Source organism: Homo sapiens, chromosome 11 (assembly GCF_000001405.40).
Source record: "Homo sapiens chromosome 11, GRCh38.p14 Primary Assembly".
NCBI classification, from domain to species: domain Eukaryota; kingdom Metazoa; phylum Chordata; class Mammalia; order Primates; family Hominidae; genus Homo; species Homo sapiens.
Window position 1 is genome coordinate 26,855,248 of NC_000011.10, and position 23,272 is coordinate 26,878,519.

Consider the following 23,272-nt stretch of genomic DNA (forward strand, 5'->3'; position numbering starts at 1 on the left):
TTACTATTACAGTCATTTGAGGTAAAATGGGCTGTTTGCTTTACAAGGAAGCCAAGCTGGAAGAAAGCAAATTGTGGGAATGTTTCTACAACAAAATTTCATGCAATTTGGAAATAAAATGTGTTCAGAAGGATTGAAAGAGATATATGATCTTGGGCCGGGGAAAACAAACAAACAAGGAAAAATACTCTGGCCCAGAACAGAACAATGTGACTTTATTTTGGAGACGATTTACCTAATTAAGTATATCTTTCTTTCTTTGAAAGTCTGAGATTGCTTTAATGTTTACAAAATTTATGATTCACTTCTGTTAATATGATCCTCTCAGAGGCTATCCCTCAAAACCACTAGGCTTCCTTGCTCACTTTTCTCTTGGACCAGAAAGGGCTAGTAGAATGCAATATTTTGAAATAATTGTGTTGTCTTGTTGTTTCTATTTCTTTCCAATCATATTTCCTATTAAATTCCATTTCCCCAAACATACAAGGACTGCCATCAGCCTGCCAATGTTCTATATTTTGAGACTCTGTTTACCATCCAAATCTATTGGGATCTCAGATCCCCCAATTCCTACTGAGGAAAAAAGATGAGAGGTTAACCAGGAACCTCATATCTGCTAAAATTTAGCAAATGAATATTCTCAGAAAATAATATACCTTAATTCAGCTGACGTCCTTAAGAAGCTTTTAGTTTCTAAGACTATAAAGACAGATATTTTTTGGCCCAGAGTCCTTTCTGTGAACTAAGTAGGTCACCATCTACTCCGTTTATGGGAAAGAGCAGGTCCAAATATGGCCTTTAATTTTGAAGTCCTATTGGTGAATATTGTGATCTCAAATCCTAAAAGAGATTATAGACTATCTCTTTGATTTCACGATTGAAGAACACAAGTTTCAGAGAGATGTGATAAGTTGTCCAAGGTCAGTGACAGAGTGTGTGCCCGACTGGATTTGGAACTCAGGACTTTGGCTGTCTTGTCAAGCATCCCTTTTGTACCATCCCTGTCTCTAAATTGGAGATTTCTAACAAGATTACAAAATAGCCAAAGAGAATTAGAAGATTTTAACATAAGACACGATACAGATGTTTGGAATCTAGCCTTCAAAATATTTTTTTGACAGTTCCTGGATCAAAAACATTCTGCTTGACCTGGAAAATATGTATTGATGTTAAATATGGTCTCTGAAACCAATTTTTGCTAATTGGATTTACTATATTATCCAGTTTAATTTGGTATTATGTAGTCTTTGAAACAGTTAATTTAGAAAATTTGATCAATTGCTTGTTCTGAATGTTTATACAGTTGCCTGATTGTTTCCTTTATTTTAATCCAAAGATACTGGCATAAAAAATAAAGGCAACTATATGAGTAATTAAAACAAAAATATTTGCATGTTTATCTTAATATTCAATATTTCAGGTAAAAGATTGCCACTATCTGATATTATAAAGCAAATCTATTATCTATTCATATGTAGACAAAACAGAAATTTTTTTGGATAACATATCTTAAAGAGAGAAATATGATATATCCATTTTCCTCTAATTTTATGTATTTCACAAATAATATTTAATAATTCTAGAGATAAAAACAAGAGAAGGAAGGAAGGGAGGGGGAGCAAGAGGGAAAAAGGGAGAAGAGGGACAAAAGAGAGAAAAGCTACCTATCATCCATCTGTAGCAGTCTTCAATTTTCATATTCTCTTCCCTATATGAATAGTTTCATAGTTGTGAACAGGAATAAATTCTGTTTTGATTCTATATCAAACATTAAGCATTTTATCATAGATACAGGCATTGTATTATAATTTGCATGACTACCATTTTTAATGGCTCTTTAATGTCATCAAATTGAAAAAGCATGAGCCACCGAAACCACTCCACTGTAGGCAATTTTATTGTTTACAAGTTTTGCTAGTTTAAATACTACAGTAAATATGTTTGAGCAGGTATCATTTGCTCTCACATAGGGTATAAATTTCCAGCAGACCAAAAAACTGGCTCACAAAAATGCAAAATTGTATGGTGCCTAATAGATACATCAAATCACTTTTCACAGAGGTTGTGATTAAGAATGATAATGAGAGACCATTCTTAAAATCATTCAAAAGTGAGATAGATCATAGTTTTAGGCAAGTTTTATTATAGAGGTGGCATTATATTTATGACTTCATGACTACACTGATTATTGTCTACTTTCCACAAATGGCATATAAAATCAGAAAAGAGTAGGTCTTATTTTTCAGATTTTATTACACCCTAAGTTTTCTTCATGGTGAATATTGACATGGTAAAGTAGAGTGAAAAAGGAAATAGGGTAGAAAAGAAAGGAAACCTCTACTAGACATCCAAGATAGGCATTATATTTTTCACGAAATATAAAGCAAATAATAAGACTAATGAATTTAACATGGGCTAAGTTGGTCTGACATGCCTGTGATTGTCACACAAGAGCAATTTCAGCAAAATTCAGTATTGGATTGTAGCTCTAAGAACAGCAAACTGGATGATTAAAGCAAATTAGGTGCAGAAAAAAACTTACTGCAATTATCTGAATATATTAGGTGAAACCTCAGTCTCAGTATATAATATCCAAGTAGCTTTCTCTACTCTTGAAAATACTACAATACTGAATGCCCACAAAAATCATCCTATTTCTAAACTGCAATCTAAAAATAAAAAAATGTTTTAGTGTCTATTCCACTAACTGTAATCATTATGTAACTAGAGATTCAGAAACTGAGATTATGGGATCATGTATCTACAGTGTAACTTAATCATGGAAAACTTGAAAATATTATGTTTATATTTATGAAATCATATATTTAGTCAAATAGTTGTGGGATTTGAAGAAAGATACTATATATGAAAATCTCTAAGTTTTATGGAGTTTTTCATTTTCAGATGCAGTAAAGTACAAAAGTTTATCAAAAATGACATTTCAGACACATTAACAGATATTTTCAATCTAGCAATTAGACCAAAATGTAACTTCAGAATTAGCATATTTTGAAAGAAATCAACTATAATAGAAATTAGAGACTTTTCTGCTTATGTTAGCAAATTTTGTAAACCTTAGAAGACAAAATAGTCACTTCATTTCACTTTCTAAAATTCACCAATACAAAGAATAATTTTCTTAAATCCTTGAAAAATACCAAATAATTTGAAAAAAACACCTTGTATACAAATACAAGAAAGAGGGGTTCTAAGAACATTGCTGAAATCATTTTTAACCTAAAAATGCAACAAAATGAAAATCTAAATTATCTTTGATACAATTGCTCATGAACTATATCAAGTAGCTGAGTTGGAGAACTATCCTTTGTTCCGAAGTGTTTTTAATAGATATATTAAATATATATAAGGTTATTGTATATATATACATATATATTTCCTATAGGAAATATAAAGGAGAGCTAGGGAACTTTTTGGGGAAATATCAGACTTCTCATTATATATTTATTTACATTTTCTGGAATTTTTTCATCTATTTTCAGAAACTAAAATTATTTCACTAATTTCTAATCATGCTCACACCTTCTCCTTTCCCAAACTCAACTTATCCAAAAGCATTTTTATATTTCTCTCGCTATGCCTAATTTTATTATTAACAAAAATATAAGAATTATTATTATAATCATCAGAATAGCTAACAGTAATTGAAGAGAGTACGACCAAGGCATTTTGCTTTCCAATCTAATATGTATTTTCCTGTTTAAATTTCACAACAGTCATATACAAGATACTACTATCTTCATGTTATTCATTAGGAAAGTGACATTCAGAGAAGTAAAGCATCTTCTTCAGTGTAATAGAAACAGTAACTAGTGGATCTGCAATTTGAGCTCAGATCTGTAATACTCCAGAGTACCTGGTTAAGTGTACGACGTTGTCTTCCGATTGTTACCTGTGAGGTGCTATTGCCTTCAGTAAACCAGAAGGATAGCATTCCACTAAATATGACCCTATGCCCAAGGGTAGAGTCTTTAATATGTTAGATAACAAAGATTTGGAGGATCTTTTTTTAAAAAAAATCATGAAAACATGTATTAATTAACTTCTGGAGTGGTCCATTTAATGAAAAACCTTTAAGCAGACATTGCTTATAGGCAAAATGTAAGAAAGTGGTTCTTATAGCTTTGAGAGGGCCAGGAGTCCCTGGTTCCGAATAATGAAGAGAAACTTCACGAAGACAGACAATCTTAAAATCATGTGGCTCAGACTTTGGGTCCACTTCTTGGAACTACACTATACAGAAAGACTAGGTACTCAGGACAGACAGCAGAGCAGATGTGTAATAGGTTCCTCTTGGCTCCCAATCCAGAGAAATGAGCCACAGTCTCCTGTTCCAGCTTGATCTCCTGGGTGGTCTCAAAAGGTAGAACAAAACATTATAGTTTCCTGGTCCAATCTAGAAGTCCCACACGTGCAAGAGAAGGGAGAGTTTGGCATATTCACAGTAAACACTGCACTCTTATGTTACTTTATTGTCACTCCCAAAGATTTCAAAGGGCTTAATTTCTCATTAAAATTGTGCATGTAAAATGAATGGTACAATTAATGAGAGTATTGCTACTCTTACTGAAAGAGCAAGAGTTTCTCCTCCAAACACATCTTCTGAAATGAACATATGGCCTACTATATGCCAGCCACTATTATTGATTTGTTTTCTCATTTCTCATTTCAACCTCTGAAGTAGATAATAGTATCCCCATATTATAGGATAGAAAACTAGGGTTCAGATACCATGTGGCTTTCCCCAAAGACCATATAGCTTGAAAGTGAGAAAGCTAAAATTCTTATCTAACTCATCCTGAATTTCTTAATGCAGCATTCTATCTTCCTCGCATAGGCAAGCATTGCCTTTTGTGCCTACTCATCTTATTCATTCTAGTTATTGAGCATCTGTGACGCTTCCATTGCTTTCTTTATGTGCCTTACTTCTCGCTTTCTGGGGATTAGTATATCATCCCTGTAATTGTTTGCCTTGCTGGCTATGATTGCATTTTAGGAAAACCACAGAGATAATTAAAAATCCAAGTCAAGACACCAGTAATGTTTTGGGGAATCTTTCCACCCATCATAACAGTAAAGATTTTTCTGTGACGTGCTGTAAGAAAAATTTCTGTTCTCCTGAAACTGTTCATCTAAAACATGTTTCCATACGTATCTCACAGAACGGAGAAATAATTATTTTGGTCTTATTCAATGATTCTATAAAGAACTTCAAAACTATTACATATTGTCTTTTGATAGGAAAAAAACCCTATAATTGAATATGCATTGGGAGTTAAGTGAAACACGTTATTGTTTTATGAAGACTAGCCAGGAATTACATCATGCTGCCTGTTTCTACATATGAGTCCAATTTTATGTGAAACTATTTAGAGACTATGGCCCATCTGCTTCTGAAGGTTTTCTACCAAGTTGCCAGATTAATAGTGCAGAAACCAGAATCATTTTTATGCAGATACTGATGAATTTACAATCATTATAACCCTTGCCTGACAATTTATAGCTATTCTTATACGTTTTACCAAAAGCAATGTTTTAAAGAGTTTTCATGATCATCACAGGAAATGGTTCAGCAGAAACCACACAATAAACTAGTTTCTAGTACGATTCTAGAAATCATCTATTATTTTCTTCCAGTTCACTTATAAAAGACATACAATTATATACCAATTTAGCTTTTCAAAATTACTTTCACATTTGTCTTCTTACTTTCTCTTCTGTGTTGTATCACTTTACAATCCCTGTTTAAAAGTTGAATGAGAGTCACAGAAAAGTTAAGCAACTTACCTAATGTCACGTAATTGTGTGGTGGCAGAGAAATGATGAGTGCCCAGGTGTTTTTTATTTCCAGCTCTTACATCATTTCACAAAGTGAGTTCTGTGGAATACTAGCATCCTGATAAATGTGAATAGGCATTCTGGTAAAATGTATGTTTCAAGGTCACTGCATAATCACCTCTAGACTTTCACAAGTCATAAGATATTGAAAGGTCACTAAAGTCCTATAATTTAAAAAATGTTTAACATAGAGTTTTATCAGCGTATTTGTCCGTGAATATCTTGCAAACTCACTAGTATTGCAAAGTAAATAATTTAGAAAATGCTGCACTAAGGTATACATATAAGTTTTACTTGGTCTCAGGACTGAATATAACTCAAGCACATTGACTATGCCCTATAAATTTTATTTCTCACAAGGTCTGGAAAATGCTAGAGCTAAGAGTAGGAGCTCAATAAAGATTTATTGCCTGAGTGAAAATTTATGATATGGGTATTCATAAATAGAGGTTTAGATGTATAGATGTCAGTTTATTGTAACCACAAACCAGTTTATTGAATCCAAGAGAGAGGGAAAGAAAGAGAGAGACTATCAAAAATCTGTACAAGCTAGAGAAATATATGTTTAATGCATTGTAAATATGTATAAATATTAAGAAAGAATGCAGTAACATGGAAAAAATCAAATAAATTAATAAATATGCTTTGAACATGTATTGAGTGCTTACTATCTTCCAGGTACCAAAATGTCCTGTCATTTAATCTACCTTCTCCTTATGATACAGATAACATTGTCATTCAAAATTCAAGTCACCCAACAAATATATATTAAGTATCTGAAATATGCTTATTGACTTGTCCTTCAAGGTTTAGTTTAAAAGTCAGGTACATGTTGGTGATTAATAAATATTTAGTGAATGGATTAATATAGACACAATCACTGTTCTCATTGGCTCGTATGTTAGTATTATACTAAGTGGTAGACCTCAGATGCAAACCCTGATCAAACCAAGGTTCTCTCCACTGGACCTCAGCCTTAGTGAGTTGTAAGTCCATGCTTCCTATCCTCATTTGCTAACAGCTGGTAATGTGAACTTGGTTATGTATGTAAGTTTTTCTGACTGTAAATGGTTGTAATGATTTTAAATAGAACAATGGACCAATTTGTTCAGGCACTAAAGTTTCTAAGTTTCTGCTTTGTGGCCACCATGCCCCTACCCTTGTGCCCCTTTTATTGGTCAATGTCCAGCCATCCTAGTTGTTAAATATTTTAACTATCACCTTAGGTGAAGGAAAACGGCACTGGGGAAAAAAATAGACTTGAAATGTTTTGTCTTAAAGTTCTAAATTCAAGAGCCAAAGACCCATATATCCTCATTAATTGCTAAACAAATTTATTTAGGAAGATGCCCTGAAGACAGACAGATATAATAACAATTTGAATCAAACTCTACTCTTGAGATCCCAGTAAGGTAGTTTAAAAGCAAATCACATGCCCCTAGTGCCACTCTATTACACAAATTACTCCTCCTCCAGGCTCAAGTCATCCCAAGAAGGTAGCAGTATTTGGCAAGACAGTAGAGTTAACATGAACTGAGATAATTTAAGCTTTTACATTTAAAGATCAATGTCAGGCTAAATGTCATACTGAGATCATTTGGTGCTCAAAATGAAGTGATGATTTTGGCTCTGAGATTTGAAAAAAAAAAAAAATCCCAAAATTTCAACAATGTTTTGAGATGCCACAGTCGTCTTGTTTCAGTTATCCAGTCAATAAATTTAACTAGATGTTCAGGGACCAAAGAATCAAAAACATTTGTTGCTATTCCCAAAATACAGAGCTGTACTCACAGGTGTGCTATGTCAGTTAGGACCTTTTCAACTAAATCAAAACCCCATGTTCCCTTTTGCCATTCATCATTGACCATTTACAGAGGTAACCCATGAAGATTGCACAGCTGTTGTGAAGTAACATTTGATTTCTGCCAAGATCTCAGGAGGACTGAATTACTGTGAGTTATGATTTCCCCAGAACTGGTAGAACTATTTCTTGTACAACCAGGCTCATATATCTCAATAACAGCTTTTCTGCCAGGGAAAGTACAGGTAAACTTTGATATTGGAACATTCCTTGTAGTTTGATTTGGCAAAAAGTGACTCAAATTCTTCCTTCACTTTATTGTATAATTTTAAAATAATTTCCCATTGAAGGAGAATCATTTGTCCTTTAAATGTGCATATACAATAACCTATTGCTATTACTCTTGAAAGTCTAGCCAGTAAAACTTATGACTTCAATCATGACATTCCATTTCTTTTAAGAGAGAAGCTTGAATAGCATGCTCATGCCTACTTCTAACTTAAGTCAAAACATTTGCTAGGGCAAGGCTTTGTTTCTTTTAATTTCTGAGGTCTGGTCCCACAAGTGGTAACAGTGAATTGTGCATGTCTTTCCACCCACATCACATGATTTGCTTGTTTTAATTGCTTATCTAAATGCTGGTTTATCCTGCAGGTGTCAGTTTGAATCATTTCCTTCATGATGTCTTCTATAATTTAGGCCAGGCTTGATTGTTCTTTTCTATCTCACCAGAAATTGTTCTTTTCTATCTCACCAGAAATTAAGAGTTATTAGTACCCAAGTGCACTAGGAAAGTTGACATCATGATATGACATCTGGCCCTGCATCTTTAGTCACACTGCTGTGTAAGATGGCACAGTGGGAACTATGATTATTTCTGCAAGTTTCTACTGCACTGAGATGGCTAGCAATAAATTATGCCTGGAGGTGAACCATATAAATATATCCTGATAAACCATATAAATATATCCTGATAAAAATAAACCAAATGCATCCCCTATCAATTTTCCGCTACTTGAATCCCCAAAATACCCATAGCCACTCTAGCATCGCCAGACAAAAACGCAAGTGAGAATGGAAAAAGACAATAATCTTAAGCAGTGATGCTCAAAAATATCTTACTATGTCAACTGTATTAAGCAAGAAGCCCTGAAGCTTAGGGCCATTAGATTCACAGCCACAACATCTCTGCTCCTACCTCTACTCTCTGTTCTCCCTGCCACATATATGCTTCATTCTACTACAAAAACTTTCATCCCTATGCCTCTTTCCAAGCCCACTTTCCAATCCAACCTCTTCCTCCCCTAAATTTCCTGAACCTTCTCCCTGCATTGGCTCTTCTCAACAGGAGATATTTTTTTTTTAATTCAGAATCTCCAGTTCCCACATCAAGTCCACTGAGTTAGTATTTTTTAAACAAGATCTTTAGAAGCATTTCATACACCTTTGGGTTTAAGAAGCATGTCCTAGAAGACACCCCTTTCCTACCTTCATTCCATGGAACTGGAGGGATCACTCTTTTTACTCTAAATGAAATTTTTACCTTTTTCTAACTCAATGCTCAACCAAACCCAGGTTCTTCCCTTGTCCCATGACAACATGCAAATCACCACCCTTTCACATAGGCAAGTCTCCAGGACCCAGGAATGAAGGACTGACCTTCTTTCCCATCCCTGTTCCCTCTTTGGGACATCAAAAAGTTATATTGTCAGAGACTAAGCAAGAAATTTGATTCAGCCTTGGAAGATTGCTATAACTATAACTACCAAGTGTTTCCACAGATACATTTGAACATTTAAGGGTCCAGCACACATATCATATTTCTTCTCTTACACTGTGTCTCACTATTGTCCATACTTTGATGATCTGTAAAATTATTAACCTCATGTTCTTACTCAACTTATGCCACATAAGTATTCCTTAATTATTTCAAACAAATGTTCTTGTCTCCCCAATTAATTTTATGTGTTCTGAAGGGCAGGGATCACACCAGCGATGTTTCTGGGTCTCATAGAGGCTAGCACAGTACTTGACACATTGTGGCTTCCAGTTAAGTCCTCTGTCTTAATTAGGAAATGTTTAAATATTTCTTTGATGACTGAAGAACTTTCAGGGCCTCAGAATGCAGATATTTTTTGTTTGTTTGTTTGTTTGTTTGTTTTGAGACAGGGGCTTTCTCTGTCACTCAGGCTGGAGTGCAGTGGTGCCATATTAGCTCACGGCAGCCTTGACTTCCTGAGCCCAAACGATCCTCCCACCTCAGCCACCATGCCCATCTAATTAAAAAAAAAACTTAAGAGACAGGGTCTCGCCATGTTACCCAGACTCTTCTTGATCTCCTGGGATCCAGGCAATCCTCCCACCTCAGTGTCACAAAGTGCTAGGATTACAGGCATGAGCCACCACACCTAGCCACCACTTTGAACAATTATATTCTCACTGAATATAACAGAGAACCAAATGATTTATTATTATCATCATCATCAAATATGCATTTCTCATGATGATGTGTCTCATATATTTTTACTGGAAAGAAGGGATCTTCCTGTCATTGTAATAACAGTTTTATATTGCATTTTAATACAGAAGATTTAGGTAGTAAAAACAGCATAGAATCTGATGTACTGTTTTCAAGTCCCTGTACAGTCCTTACTAGCTCTGTAGTTTGAATATAACTACCAACTCTCAATCATCCTATTTACTTGTGTGAAACAACCTCATGGGGTTATTACAGCTTTAATGAGACAAAGCAAAATCTTAACACTGTTTTATTCTCAATCCATTATTCTACATTATAATCTCTGTTATGAAAATTTAAATTATTCTTATAAATACTAGTTTCAGAATTAACACAAAAAAGTCTCAAGTTTGAAATTAGGCCATGATTATATAGCTACTTGCACTTTCAATCCTCCAAGAAAATCGTGGAAATTTCAAAATTAACAAGGGAGTTGTGCAATGATTCTGACTCTGAAAAATTAAAATTCTTGTAAGCCTTTATTCATTCCTTGAAAAAAGAGGTCTGTTGCTTGAGGTTGGGAATGAAGATGAGGCAATGTTTATTTTCAATTAATCTTAAGCTTCTGGACTTAATGAAGAAAGTTTATCAAAAACTGCATGTAAGAGTTTTGGAAGTTGGACAGTGGAAACAAAAACAGAAAAAGGAAGGAAGGGAGGGAAGACGGAAGGACCAAAGAGAAGCAGGTATGAGCGATGAGGCTTGATTTATGTAACTTGTCAGTGTTATAATGATACAGTCAAACAATTTGCTGATTTGGTCAACAAACATAAAGTCACATTTAAATCTCTACTTAAAAAGCCTTGTTCTTCCCTGAAAGAACTTGTATTTTCCAAAGATAACCATGACAATATCTCTTGTTACACATGCTCTTCTGCAAAATCACTTAGCTCCTCCATGAGAAGTCAAAGTTTATTTCTCTAACGTCCTTGAGTCTGGCCCAACCCTATGACTGCTTTGGCCAATAGAATATGGCAGAATTAATGCTGTCAATGCCAGTTTATGAAAAAATTCTTAATATACCTGGTAGCTTCTTCTTTCTGCCTCTTGGACACAACAGCCATTTAAGAAGCTTACCATGTTCAGCCCACCATCTTGGGAAAAGCCAGAGGACTGAAGTTCCAGATGGATAAAGAAGCCAATGTGGAAGTAGATTTTCAGCCCCAGCCCCTAAAGCTGATGCCATGAGGATCAGGTACAAACTTCCCTGATGAACACTTCTAAAATTCTGAATCCACAAGGTTTTATGAGCAGAACAAAATGTTCAAGTCACAAGGATTTAGGGTAGTTATTTACATAGCAAAAATATAACATACCCCAGAATATACAAGCAATTACTAAAAACTAGTGAGAAAAAAGACAACTCAAATTGAAAACATGAAAACAACTTGAACAGGCACTTCATAAAATAGGATAGCCAAATGGCCAGTCCCCATATAAAAATATGCTGAATATCATCAGAAATCAGGAAAAGCAAGTTAAAGTCACATGTGCCAAAATGACAAAATTTTTAAAAGTTGACAACATCAGGTTTTGAGAAGGATGTGGAACAACTACACCATTCTTGAACAAAGTCAAGAACATAAATTGGTATAACCATTTAAGAAAAATGTTTATTAGTACCTACTAAAACTAAACCTACACATTCACCATGGCCCAACAGTTTTACTCTTGAGTATCCCTAGCAAAAAGGAGTCTTATTTCCACCAAAAGACATGAACAAGAATGTTCATAGCAGTTTTAATCACAATCTCCAAAAACTGAAAATATCCCCCAAACCCATCAAGAGTAAAATGAGCAAATAAATTGTGGTATATTCATATAACGAAATGTTGCACAACAGTAAGAAGGAGCAAACCCATGATATATATACAGCATGGATTAATTTCAGAGATATAACACTGAAAAAAGTACATATTTCAGTGTATTTTCTTCCAGTCATTACCCTATACATTATTTTAAAATTCCTATGCATTTAAAAAAATAGTTGAAAGCACACTATAGTGTGCTAATAAGTCCATTTGTGCCTGAATGGTTTCCTAATAGAAAGGAATCCAGTATTGTGTAACTTTTGGCAAACATCTAATGTTTTATAAATACTAAAACAAACATCTAATGTTTCATAAATATTTTATAAAATGTAAACATAACACTTGCATAATCAACAAAATATATATTTAGCAGACTAATAAGCTTTTTTAATCTTTAGCCATTGACTACAAATTCAATCAAATGCTTCAAATTATAAGAACTGCAAATTAAATCTACTATTTTAAATTTGTTAACCACCTTTGCCATCACACAAAATTCTCACTAGTGGTTATAATTAATAATAAAGCCAACCAACACACATGTTAAAACCATTTAAAAAGTGTTAAACACTGTAATTTCCATTTGTTTCTCTATAATCTTCTTTCTTATTTTGATCTTATTCTTTCCTATTCCTTCCCAGAGCTATACTTTTACTTCTCCAACCTACACAGAGGGTTTCTCTGGGGGCAGAGACTGATGAGTGAAGATTGGAGCTGAGACCAAGTCATGAGTGTGACATCCAAGAAGATTCTTCCTAAGTTTATTATCCATCTAAGGTGGTTACATTCGTACACTTTGTCCATTATGTAAAGATTGTTATTATTAAATCTGACCAATCTTATAGCTTTTAATTTGTGGGGGTAGGAGGCACAAGTTTTATCATCAATCTGACAGCTGTTATGGGTACTTGGTATTATAGCCTAGTAGAGGTTATTTTACAAAGGTTTGTTCTGTATCTTGATTTTTTTGAATATTGGATGTAAGCCTCTTTTGTGACTACCCCTTCTGACCAAGTCCTATTTAGTTAAGTTAAATCTAAATGGATTAGTCAATCATTTACTTGAAATTACAATTTTTCTTCCTTATTAACCACCTAAGACCTGCAATAGTATGTCATAAGCACTGTTTCCATGGCTATAAACTCTTTTGAAAGATAATTATAATGACTTCATGAAATTCTATCTTAAGAATATAATATAGTTTCAACACATTTTGTGTATATTACAAAGCAGATAATGATGTCCTATGGTGTTTCTTTACTAACAAACCAACTTAAAGAAATTTTAAAAATATAGTATATGGATGAAAAATTCTCCAGAGGATAGATATCATAAGGAAAAAATAATCACAGCTTCTGGAAACGACAGACACACTTAGAGAAATACAAAATTCAGTGGAAAGTTTCAACAATAGACTAAAAGAAATAGAAGAAAGAACAGCAGAGCTCAAAGACAAGGCTTTTGAGTTAACCCAATCAGACAAAGACAAAAAGAAATGAAGAAAGCTTTCAAGAAATTTGGGATTATGTTAAACAGCCAAGCCTAAGAATAATTGATGTTCCTAAGGAAGAAGAAAAATATTAAAGTTTGGAAAACTTATTTGAGGGAATAATTGAGGGAAACTTTCCTGGCCTTGCTAGAGATCTAGACATCAGAACACAAGAAGCTCAAATGACTCCTAAGAAATTCATCACAAAAAGATTATTACCAACACCCACAGTCATCAGACTATCTAAATTCAAGATTAAGGAAAGAGTCATAAAAGCTGTGAGGCAAAAGCATCAGGTAACCTATACATGAAAAACATATCCGATTAATAGCAGATTTATCAGCAGAAACCCTACAAACCAGAAGGGATTGGGGTCCCATCTTTAGCGTCCTTAACAACAACAAAAATTGTCAGCTGAGAATTTTGTAGCCAGCAAAACTAAGCTTTATAAATGAAGGAGAGAAAAAGGCTTTTTCAGATAAAAAAACAAATGCTGTGAGAATTTGCCACTACATCTAACATGATGAATAGAACAGTACCTCCCATCTCCATATTACTAACATTGAATGTATTTTCTTTTTTTTCTTTTTCTTTTTTTTTTTTTTGTTTTTTTTTTTAGACAGAGTTTTGTTCTTGTGACCCAGGCTGGAGTGCAATGGCACGATGTCAGCTCACTGCAACCTCTGCCTCCGGGGTTCAGATGAATCTCCTGCCTCAGCCTCCCAAGTAGTTGAGATTACAGGTACCTGCCACCTCACCCAGCCAATTTTTGCATTTTTAGTAGAGATTGAATTTCACAGCCTAAATGCTCCACTTAAAAGATACAGAATTGCAGAATGCATAAAAATTCACCAACCAAGTATCTGCTGTTTTCAAGAGACTCACCTAACACATAAGAACTCATACAAACTTAAGATAAAGGGGTGGAAAAAGATATTCCACACAAGTAGAAACCAAAAGCAGTCAGAAATAGCTATCCTTATATCAGGCAAAACACTTTAAAGCAACAACAGTTAAAAAAAAAAAAAAAGAAAAGACAAAGAGGGGCATAATATAATGATAAATAAATTAGTCCAACAGGAAAATATAACAATTCTAAATACATATGCACCTAACACTGGAGCCCCCAAATTTATAAAATAATTACTACTAGACCTAAGAAATGAGATAGATGGCAACACAATAATAGTGGGGATGTCAATACTCCACTGACAGCACATGACAGTCATTAAGACAGAAAGTCAACAAAGAAACAATGGACTTAAAGTATATTCTAGAACAAATGGACTTAACAGATATTTACAGAACATTCTACCCAACAACTGCAGAGTACACATTGTATTAATCAGCACATGGAACATTCTCTAAGATAGATGATGTAAATACTTGGGTAAAATTGGAAGGTACAAATAAGTAATTACTGAACCAGTGGAAGCCAAGTTTAGTTGGGGAATACTTTTTATGATACTGATAAGTGAAGGCTTATTAGTTTTAAAAGTGCTGGCTTTATTTTTGTAGTTACAGAGTGGTGTAAAGGCAAGGCTTACTTAGCTTTTGGATTTTACATAAACATTATTTATTTAGTAAGCTAGTTTTTTTTTTGTTTTTTTGTTTGTTTGTTTGTTTTTGACAGAGTTTCGCTCTGGGAGAGTTTCGCTCTGTCTCCCAGGCTGGAATGCAGTGACGCGATCTCAGCTCATTGCAAGCTCTGCCTCCTGGGTTCACGCCATTCTCCTGCCTTAGCCTCCTGAGTAGCTGGGACTACAGGTGCCCACCACTACGCCCAGCTAATTTTTTGTATTTTTAGTGGAGACGAGGTTTCATCGTGTTAGCCAGAATGGTCTTGATCTCCTGACCTCATGATCCGCTCGTCTCAGCTCCCAAAGTGCTGGGATTACAGGCGTGAGCCACCGCGCCCAGCTGCTAGATTTTTTTTTAAGGTGCACTAGCCACTTAGGATATTTTCACTGGTGGGAACTGAGATTTTTTAGATGCCTGAATTAACTACTAATTTTGGTTTATTTTAGGTACATGCTTATTGAAACAGTATTTTTACTTAGCCTAAATTTAAATTTTTTTATTATTTTGTTAAAGTGATGAATATGTTTGAAAAATAAAGACAACTTTTTTTTTGCCTTTTTAGGCTAGAGCTTTAGCATGAGAATTATACTTTGACACAGAAAATTAGGTTTATAAGGGAAATATAATAAAGTGTTTTGGAAAGCAGGAAACTTTATTTTATAACTTTAAGTGAAAAATATGTGGCATTAAGGCCTGATTTTTTATTGTTTTGTCTTTTTTTAACTTCGGGAATTAAAATTTTTTGTTTAAATGCTGAATTTGAAAATTGAAACAGACTTTTGGGTTTTGTTATAAAAGCAAAGTAATAATGTTTTTATGTATTTTATAGGGTTATATAGCATAATAACTTGAATTTATGGTTGGATTTGACTGAATTTATATAGATACTAATTTGAATGACTTATACACAGAAAATGTGCAATATTTTAAGTATAAAAATTAAACTGGAACTGTTTGCTTTTGTTTTATAGTATAAATAAAAATAACCTAGATGGCAAACTATTTAATTATTTGAGCAGAACTTATGAATGAAAGATATATTTTAGAGCCATATGACTGAGGGACATTTTAACTTGCACTTTTTAGTGGCAAAAGTAGTGTATAAACTAATGTTAGTGTATACACTACAAAAGGGCTAAGTGTGTAATATTTTTTAATTTCATTTTAAAAATGAAAGTCTTTTTTTTTACGGTGAAGGGCAATAACACTAAATTTTTTATGGGTACAAGGGAATGATTTATTTAGTACATTAACACACTTAACTGTTAGTGTTTTTGGGAAGCTGGATTTGCTACAAACTTATTTTGAAAAACATGGATTATTAAATTTTATAATAAAGTTATTAATAAAGACATAGTTAAGTTTTTATAAACACTAAATGTGTGTATTTGTTGTTATGGTTCTAAATGTTAAAGAAAAACCTTTGAAAATTAGTATAGTGATAATATACATGCTTTGTGTTTGCTATTAAACTTAAGACCAAGAACAATGCCTAAAATCATTAAATTCAAGAAAATTGAAATTTCAAGTACCCTCTCAGACCACAGTGGAATAAAACTGGAAATTAATTCCAAAGGAGCCCTTAAAACTATAAAAATACATGAAAATTAAATGATCTATTCTTAAATGATCATTGAGTTAACAATAAAATCAAGATAGAAATTTAAAAATTATTTGTGCTGAATAATAATAATGACAAAACTTATCAAAACCTCTGGGATACAGCGAAGGTGGTGCTAAGAGGAAAGTTCACAGCATTAAATGCCTACATCAAAAAGTCTGAAAGAGTGCAAAGAGACAATCTAAGGTCACACCTCAAGGAACTAGAGAAACAAGAACAAAACAAACTGAAACATAGCAGAAGACAAAACATAACAAAGATTAGAGTAGAATTAAATGAAATTGAAACAAAAAACACAAAAGATAAATGAAACAAAAAGCTGGTTCTTGAAAAGATCAACAAAATTGATAGACCATTAGTGAAATTAACCAAGAAAAGAAGAGAGAACTCAATTAGAAATGAAATGAGAGCTGTTGCAATTGATATTACAGACATACAAAAGATTATTCCAGGCTACTATGAACATCTATATGCACACAAACTAAAACATCTAGAAGAGATGGCTAAATTTCTGGAAATATACAATTCTCTTAAATTAAACCAGGAAGAAATAGAAACTCTGAACATATCAATAACAAGTAGCAAGACTGAAACAGTAATTTTAAAAATTGCCAACAAAATAAAGTCCAGGACAAGATAGATTCACAGCTGAATTCTATCAGACATGCTAAGTAGAGTTGGTACCAATTTTACTGAAACTATTCAAAAATAAAGAGTGAACCCTCCCAAAATCATTCTATGTCACCAGCCACTAGGGTGGTATAAGTCACCCCAATACCAAAAACTGGAAAGGACATAATAAAAATAAATCTACAGACCAATATCTCTGATGAACATGGATGCGGAAATCCTGGACAAAATACTAGCTAACAGAATCCAAGAGCATATCAAAAAGATAATCCACCATGATCAAGTGAATTTTGTACCAGGAATGCAGGGATGGTATGACATATGCAAGTCAATAAATTTGATACATCATATAAGCAGAATTTTTTTAAAAAATTTACAGTCATCTCAATAGATGTAGAGAAAGCATTTGGCAAAATCCAGTATCCCTTTATGATTAAAACCTTCAGCAAAATTGGCATACAAGGGACTTACCTTAGGATAATAAAAGCCATCTATTAGAAACCCACAGCAAGCTGGGTGCAGTGGCTCACACCTGTAATCCCAGCACTTTGGGAGGCCGAGGTGGGCAGATCATCTGAGGTCAGAAGTTCAAAACTGGCCTGACCAACGTGGAGAAACCCCATTTCTACTAAAAACACAAAATTAGCTGGGCGTGGTGATGCATGTCTGTAATCTCAGCTACTCGGGAGGCTGAGGAGGGAGAATAGCTTGAACCCGGGAGGCGGAGATTGCGGTGAGCTGAGATCACACTATTGCATTCCAGCCTGGGCAACAAGAGCAAAACTCTGTCTCAAAAAAATAAATGAATAAAAAGAAACCCACAGCCAACATTATACTAAACAGGGAAAAGTTGAAAACATTCTCCCTGAAAACTGAAACAAGACAAGAATGTCCATTTTTACCATTTCTATTCACCATAGTACTGAGTCCTAGCCAGAGCAGTCAACAAGAGAAAGAAATAAGGGGCATCCACATCAGTAAAGAGAAGTAAAACTGTCACTGTTTGCCAATTATATAATTATATACTTAGGAAACCCTAAAGACTCATTCAAAAAGCTCCTAGATCTGATAAATTAACTCAGTAAAGTTTCAGGATACAAAATCAATGTTCACAAATTAGTAGAAACAGCTATACACAAACAGCTGAGACACCAAGCTGAGAAAAAATACATCAAGCTGAGAAACAAATCAATAACTCAATCCCTTTTACAACAATGGCAAAATAAAATAAATAAATAAATAAATACCTAAGAATATACCTAACCAAGGAAGTGAAAGATCTCTACAAGAAAAACTACAAAACACTGCTGAAAGAAATAATTTACAGCTGGGCATGGTGGTTCACACCTGTAATCCCAGCACTTTGGGAGGCCAAGGCAGGCAGATCACGAGGTCAAGAGATCGAGACCATCCTGGCTAGGAAAGTGAAACCCCATCTCTATTAAAAATACAAAAATTAGCCGGGCATGGTGGCATACGTCTGTAGTCCCAGCTACTTGGGAGACTGAGGCAGGAGAATCACTTGAACCCAGGAGGCAGAGGTTGCAGTGAGCCACTGCACTCCAGCCTGGGTGACAGAGTGAGATTCCATCTCAAAAAAAAGAAAGAAAGAAAGAAAGAAAGAAAGAAAGAAAGAAAGAAAGAAAGAAAGAAAGAAAGAAAGAGAAAGAAAGAAAGAAAGAAAGAAAGAAAGAAAGAAACAATGAATGTACAACACAGATGGAAACACATCTCATGTTCATGAATGGGTAGAATCAATGTTGTTAAAATGACCTTACTGCCAAAAGCAATCTACAGGTTTAACGTAATTCCCATCAAAGTACTGTCATCGTTCTTCACAGAAGTAGAAAAAATTCTAAAATTCATATGGAACCAAAAAAAAGCACACATAGCCAAGGCAAGACTAAGCAAAAACAAATCTGGAGGTGTCACATTACCCCACTTCAAACTATACTACAAGGCTATAGTTACCAAAACAGCATGGTACTGGTATAAAAATAGGCACATAGACCAATGGAATAGAGAACCGAGAAATGAAGCCAAATGCCTACAGCAAACTGATCTTCAACAAAGCAAACAAAAACATAAATTGGGAAAAGGACACCCTATTCAACAAATGGTGCTGAGATAATTGGCAAGTCACACGTAGAAGAATAAAACTGAATCCTCATCTCCAACCTTATGCAAAAATTAACTCAAAATGGACCAAAGACTTAAATCTAAGACCTGAAACCATAAAAATTATAGAACATAGCATTGGAAAAACTTTTCTAGACGTTGGCTTAGGTAAAGATTTCATGACCAAGAACCCAAAAGCAAATGCAACAAAAACAAAAATAGATGGGATTGAATTAAATTAGAAAGTGTCTGCACAGCAAAAGAAATAATCAGCAGAGTAAATATAGACAACCCACAGAGTAGAAGAAAATATTTTCAAACTATGCATCCAACAAAGGACTAATATTGAGAAGTAATAAGGAACTCAAATCAGCAAGAAAAAAAAATAATTCCATCAAAATGTGGACAAAGTTCATGAATAGACAATTATCAAAGCAGATATACAAATGGTCAACAAACATATGAAAAAATGCTCAACATCACTAATCAAGAAAATGCAAATTAAAACCACAGTGAGATATTACCTTATTCCTGCAAAAATGGCCATAATTTAAAAATCAAGGCCAGGCATGGTGGCTCATGCCTATAATCCCTGAACTTTGGGAGACTAAGGTGGGTGGATCACTTGAGCTCAGGAGTTCAAGACAAGCCTGAGAAGCATGGCGATACCCCATCTCTACAAAAAATTACCTGGTGTGATGCCATACAGCTGTGGTCCCAGGAACTTGGGAGGCTGAGATTGGGGGATGACTTGAGCCCAAAAGGTGGAGGTTGCAGTGATGAGATCATGATAGTGCACTCCAGCCTGGGTAACAGAGTGAGACTCTGTCTCAAAAAGAAAAAAAATCAAACAATATTAAATGGTGGCATGGATGTGGTGAAAAGGAACACTTTTACACTGCTGGTGGGAATGTAAACTAGTACAACTTCATAGAAAACAGTATGAAGATTCCTTAAAGAACTAAGAGTAGAACTACCATTTGATCCAGCAGTCCCACTACTGGATACCTACCCAGAGGAAAAAAAGTTATTATATGAAAAAGACACTTGCACACACATGTTTATTGCAGCACAATTTGCAATTGCAAATAAATGGAACCAGCCTAAATGTCCATCAACCAACAAGTGGATAGAGAAAATGTGTTATATATATACCATGGAATACAACTCAGCCATAAAAAGAAACAAAATAATGGCACTCAAAACAACCTGGATGGAGTTGGAGACCATTATTCTAAGTGAAGTTAACAGGAAATTGAAAAACAAATTTCGTATGTTCTTATTTATAAGTGGGAGGTAAGCTATGAGGATTCAAAGGCATAAGAATGATATAATGGACTTTGGGACTCAGGGGAGAGTGTGTTTGGAAGGTGAGGGATAAAAGACTACATCTTAGGTACAGTGTACACTGCTCAGATGATAGGTGCACCAAAATCTCAGAAATTATGACTAAATAAATTATTCATGTAACCAAAAACCACCTGTTTTCTCAAAACTATTGAAATTTAATAAAAAGAAGGCCTGGCACTGTGGCTCACACCTGTAATCCTGGCACTTTGGGAGGCCAAGATGGGTGGATCACTTGAGGTTAAAAGTTCAAGACCAGCCTGGCCAACATGGTGAAACCTCATCTCTACTAAAAATACAAAAATTAGCCAGGCGTGGTGGTGGGCACCTGTAATCACAGCTACTCAGGAGGCTGAGGCAGGGGAACTGCTTGAACCCGGGAGGCAGAGGTTTCAGTGAGTGGGGATCATGACATTGCACTCCAGCCTGGGCAACAGGACAAGAATCCATCTCAAAAACAAAAAAGAAAAGAAATTTGATAAAAAGAATGAAGAAAAAATTTGAAAAAGAAATAAAACCTCTGAGAAATATGAAATTATGTAGGGAGACCAAATCTATGACTCAATGGCATTCCTGAAAGAGAAGGCAAGAGAGCAAGCAACTTGGAAAACATTTAACGATATAGTTCACATTTTCCCAATCTCACTAGACAGGTTGACATGCAAATCTAAGAAAATCAAAAAACCCCTGTGAGATATTATAAAAGATAATATTATGTAATCATAATGGACTCAAACCAACAAGAAGACTTAACTATCCAAAATATATATGCACCCAACATTAGAGCACTCAGTTTTTAGAGATCTTCAAAGAGATTTAGAGGACCACACAATCTCCAAGACACATAGCCATCAGATTTTCCAAGGTTAATGTGAAAGGAAAAATCTTAAAGGCAGCTACAGGGAAGGGACAGGTCACTTAAAAATAGAACCCAATTAGGTTAAAAGAAGACCTTTCAGTGAAAACCTGACAAGGAAGAAATTGGACGCCTATTTTTAATGTCTTTTTTAAAAAAGATATTCCAACCAAGAATTTCATATACCACCAAACTAAGCTTCATAAGCAAAGCAGAAATGAAATCCTTTTCAGACAAGTAAATGTTAAGGAAATTCATTACCACTAGACCTTACTTACAAGAGGTCTGAAAGGAAGTGCTAAACATGGAAATGAAAGAATACCTGCCACTACAAAAATGCACTTAAGCACATACCTCACTGACACTATAAAGCAACTATACCAATCAAGTTTACAAAACAACCAGCTAACAGCATGTTGACCTGATTAAAGCCTCACAAATCATTATTGACCCTGAATATAATTGGGCTAAAAATGTCTCATTAAAAGGCATAGATAGAGTGGCAAATTGCATAAAGAAACAAGACCCAACTGTCTGCTGTCTTCAAGAGACACATGTCACAAGTAATGATACTCATAGGCTCAAAATAAAGGCATAGAGGAAGGTCTATCAGGCAAATGGAAAGCAAAAAAGAGCAGGTGTTGCTATTCTTATATCAGATAAAACAGGCTTTAAACCAACAATGATTTAAAAAGGCAAAGAAGGGCATTCTGTAATGATAAAGATCTTCATCCAACAAGAAAACTTCACTATCCTAAATAAATGCCCACTCAACACTGGAGCACCAAGATTTGTGAAGCAAATTCTTAGAAATCTATGAAGAGATTTAGACAACCACAAGATAATACTGGGGACTTCAACACCCCACTGACAGTTTTACACAAATAGTCAAGGCAGAAAACTAGCAAGGATATTCTGGACTTAAACTTTACACTTGACCAATTGAACCTAAGAGACACCTAAGGAATATTCAACCAACAATAACAGAATAAATACTTTTCTCATCTGGAAGAAGCACATACTCCAAGATCAACCACATGCTCTGCCAGGAAGAATGTACCAACAAATTAAAAAGAAAAACAAAATTGTACCAACCACAGTCTCAGACTGTATTAGTCCATTTTCATCACTATAAAGTATATCTGAGACTGGGTATTTTATTTAAATAAAAGTTTAATTGTCTTATGATTCTGCAGACTTACTGGAAGCATAGTGGCAGCGACTGCTTCTGGTGAGGGTTCCAGGAAGATTGCAGTCATGGCAGAAAGCAAAGGGGAGCCAGTGTATCAAATGGTGAAAGAGGGAGCAAGAGAAGGAAAAGGGGGAGGTCACTTTGAAACAACCAGATTTCATGTTAACTGAGAGAAAACTCACTTATCACCAAAAGGCTGGTGCTAAACTATCCGTGTGGAATCCAATACTATGATCCAATTACCTCCCACAAGGTCCCTCCTCCTACATTGGGAATCACATTTTAACATGACATTTGGAGGGTACAAACATCCAAACCATATCATTCCACCTCTGGCACCCCAAACCTCATGTCCTTCTCAAATTTCAAAATAAAATTATGTCTTTGCAATAGTTCCTCAAAGTTAATATCTCCTCAGCATTAACTCAAAAGTCCGAAGTCTCAAGAATCAT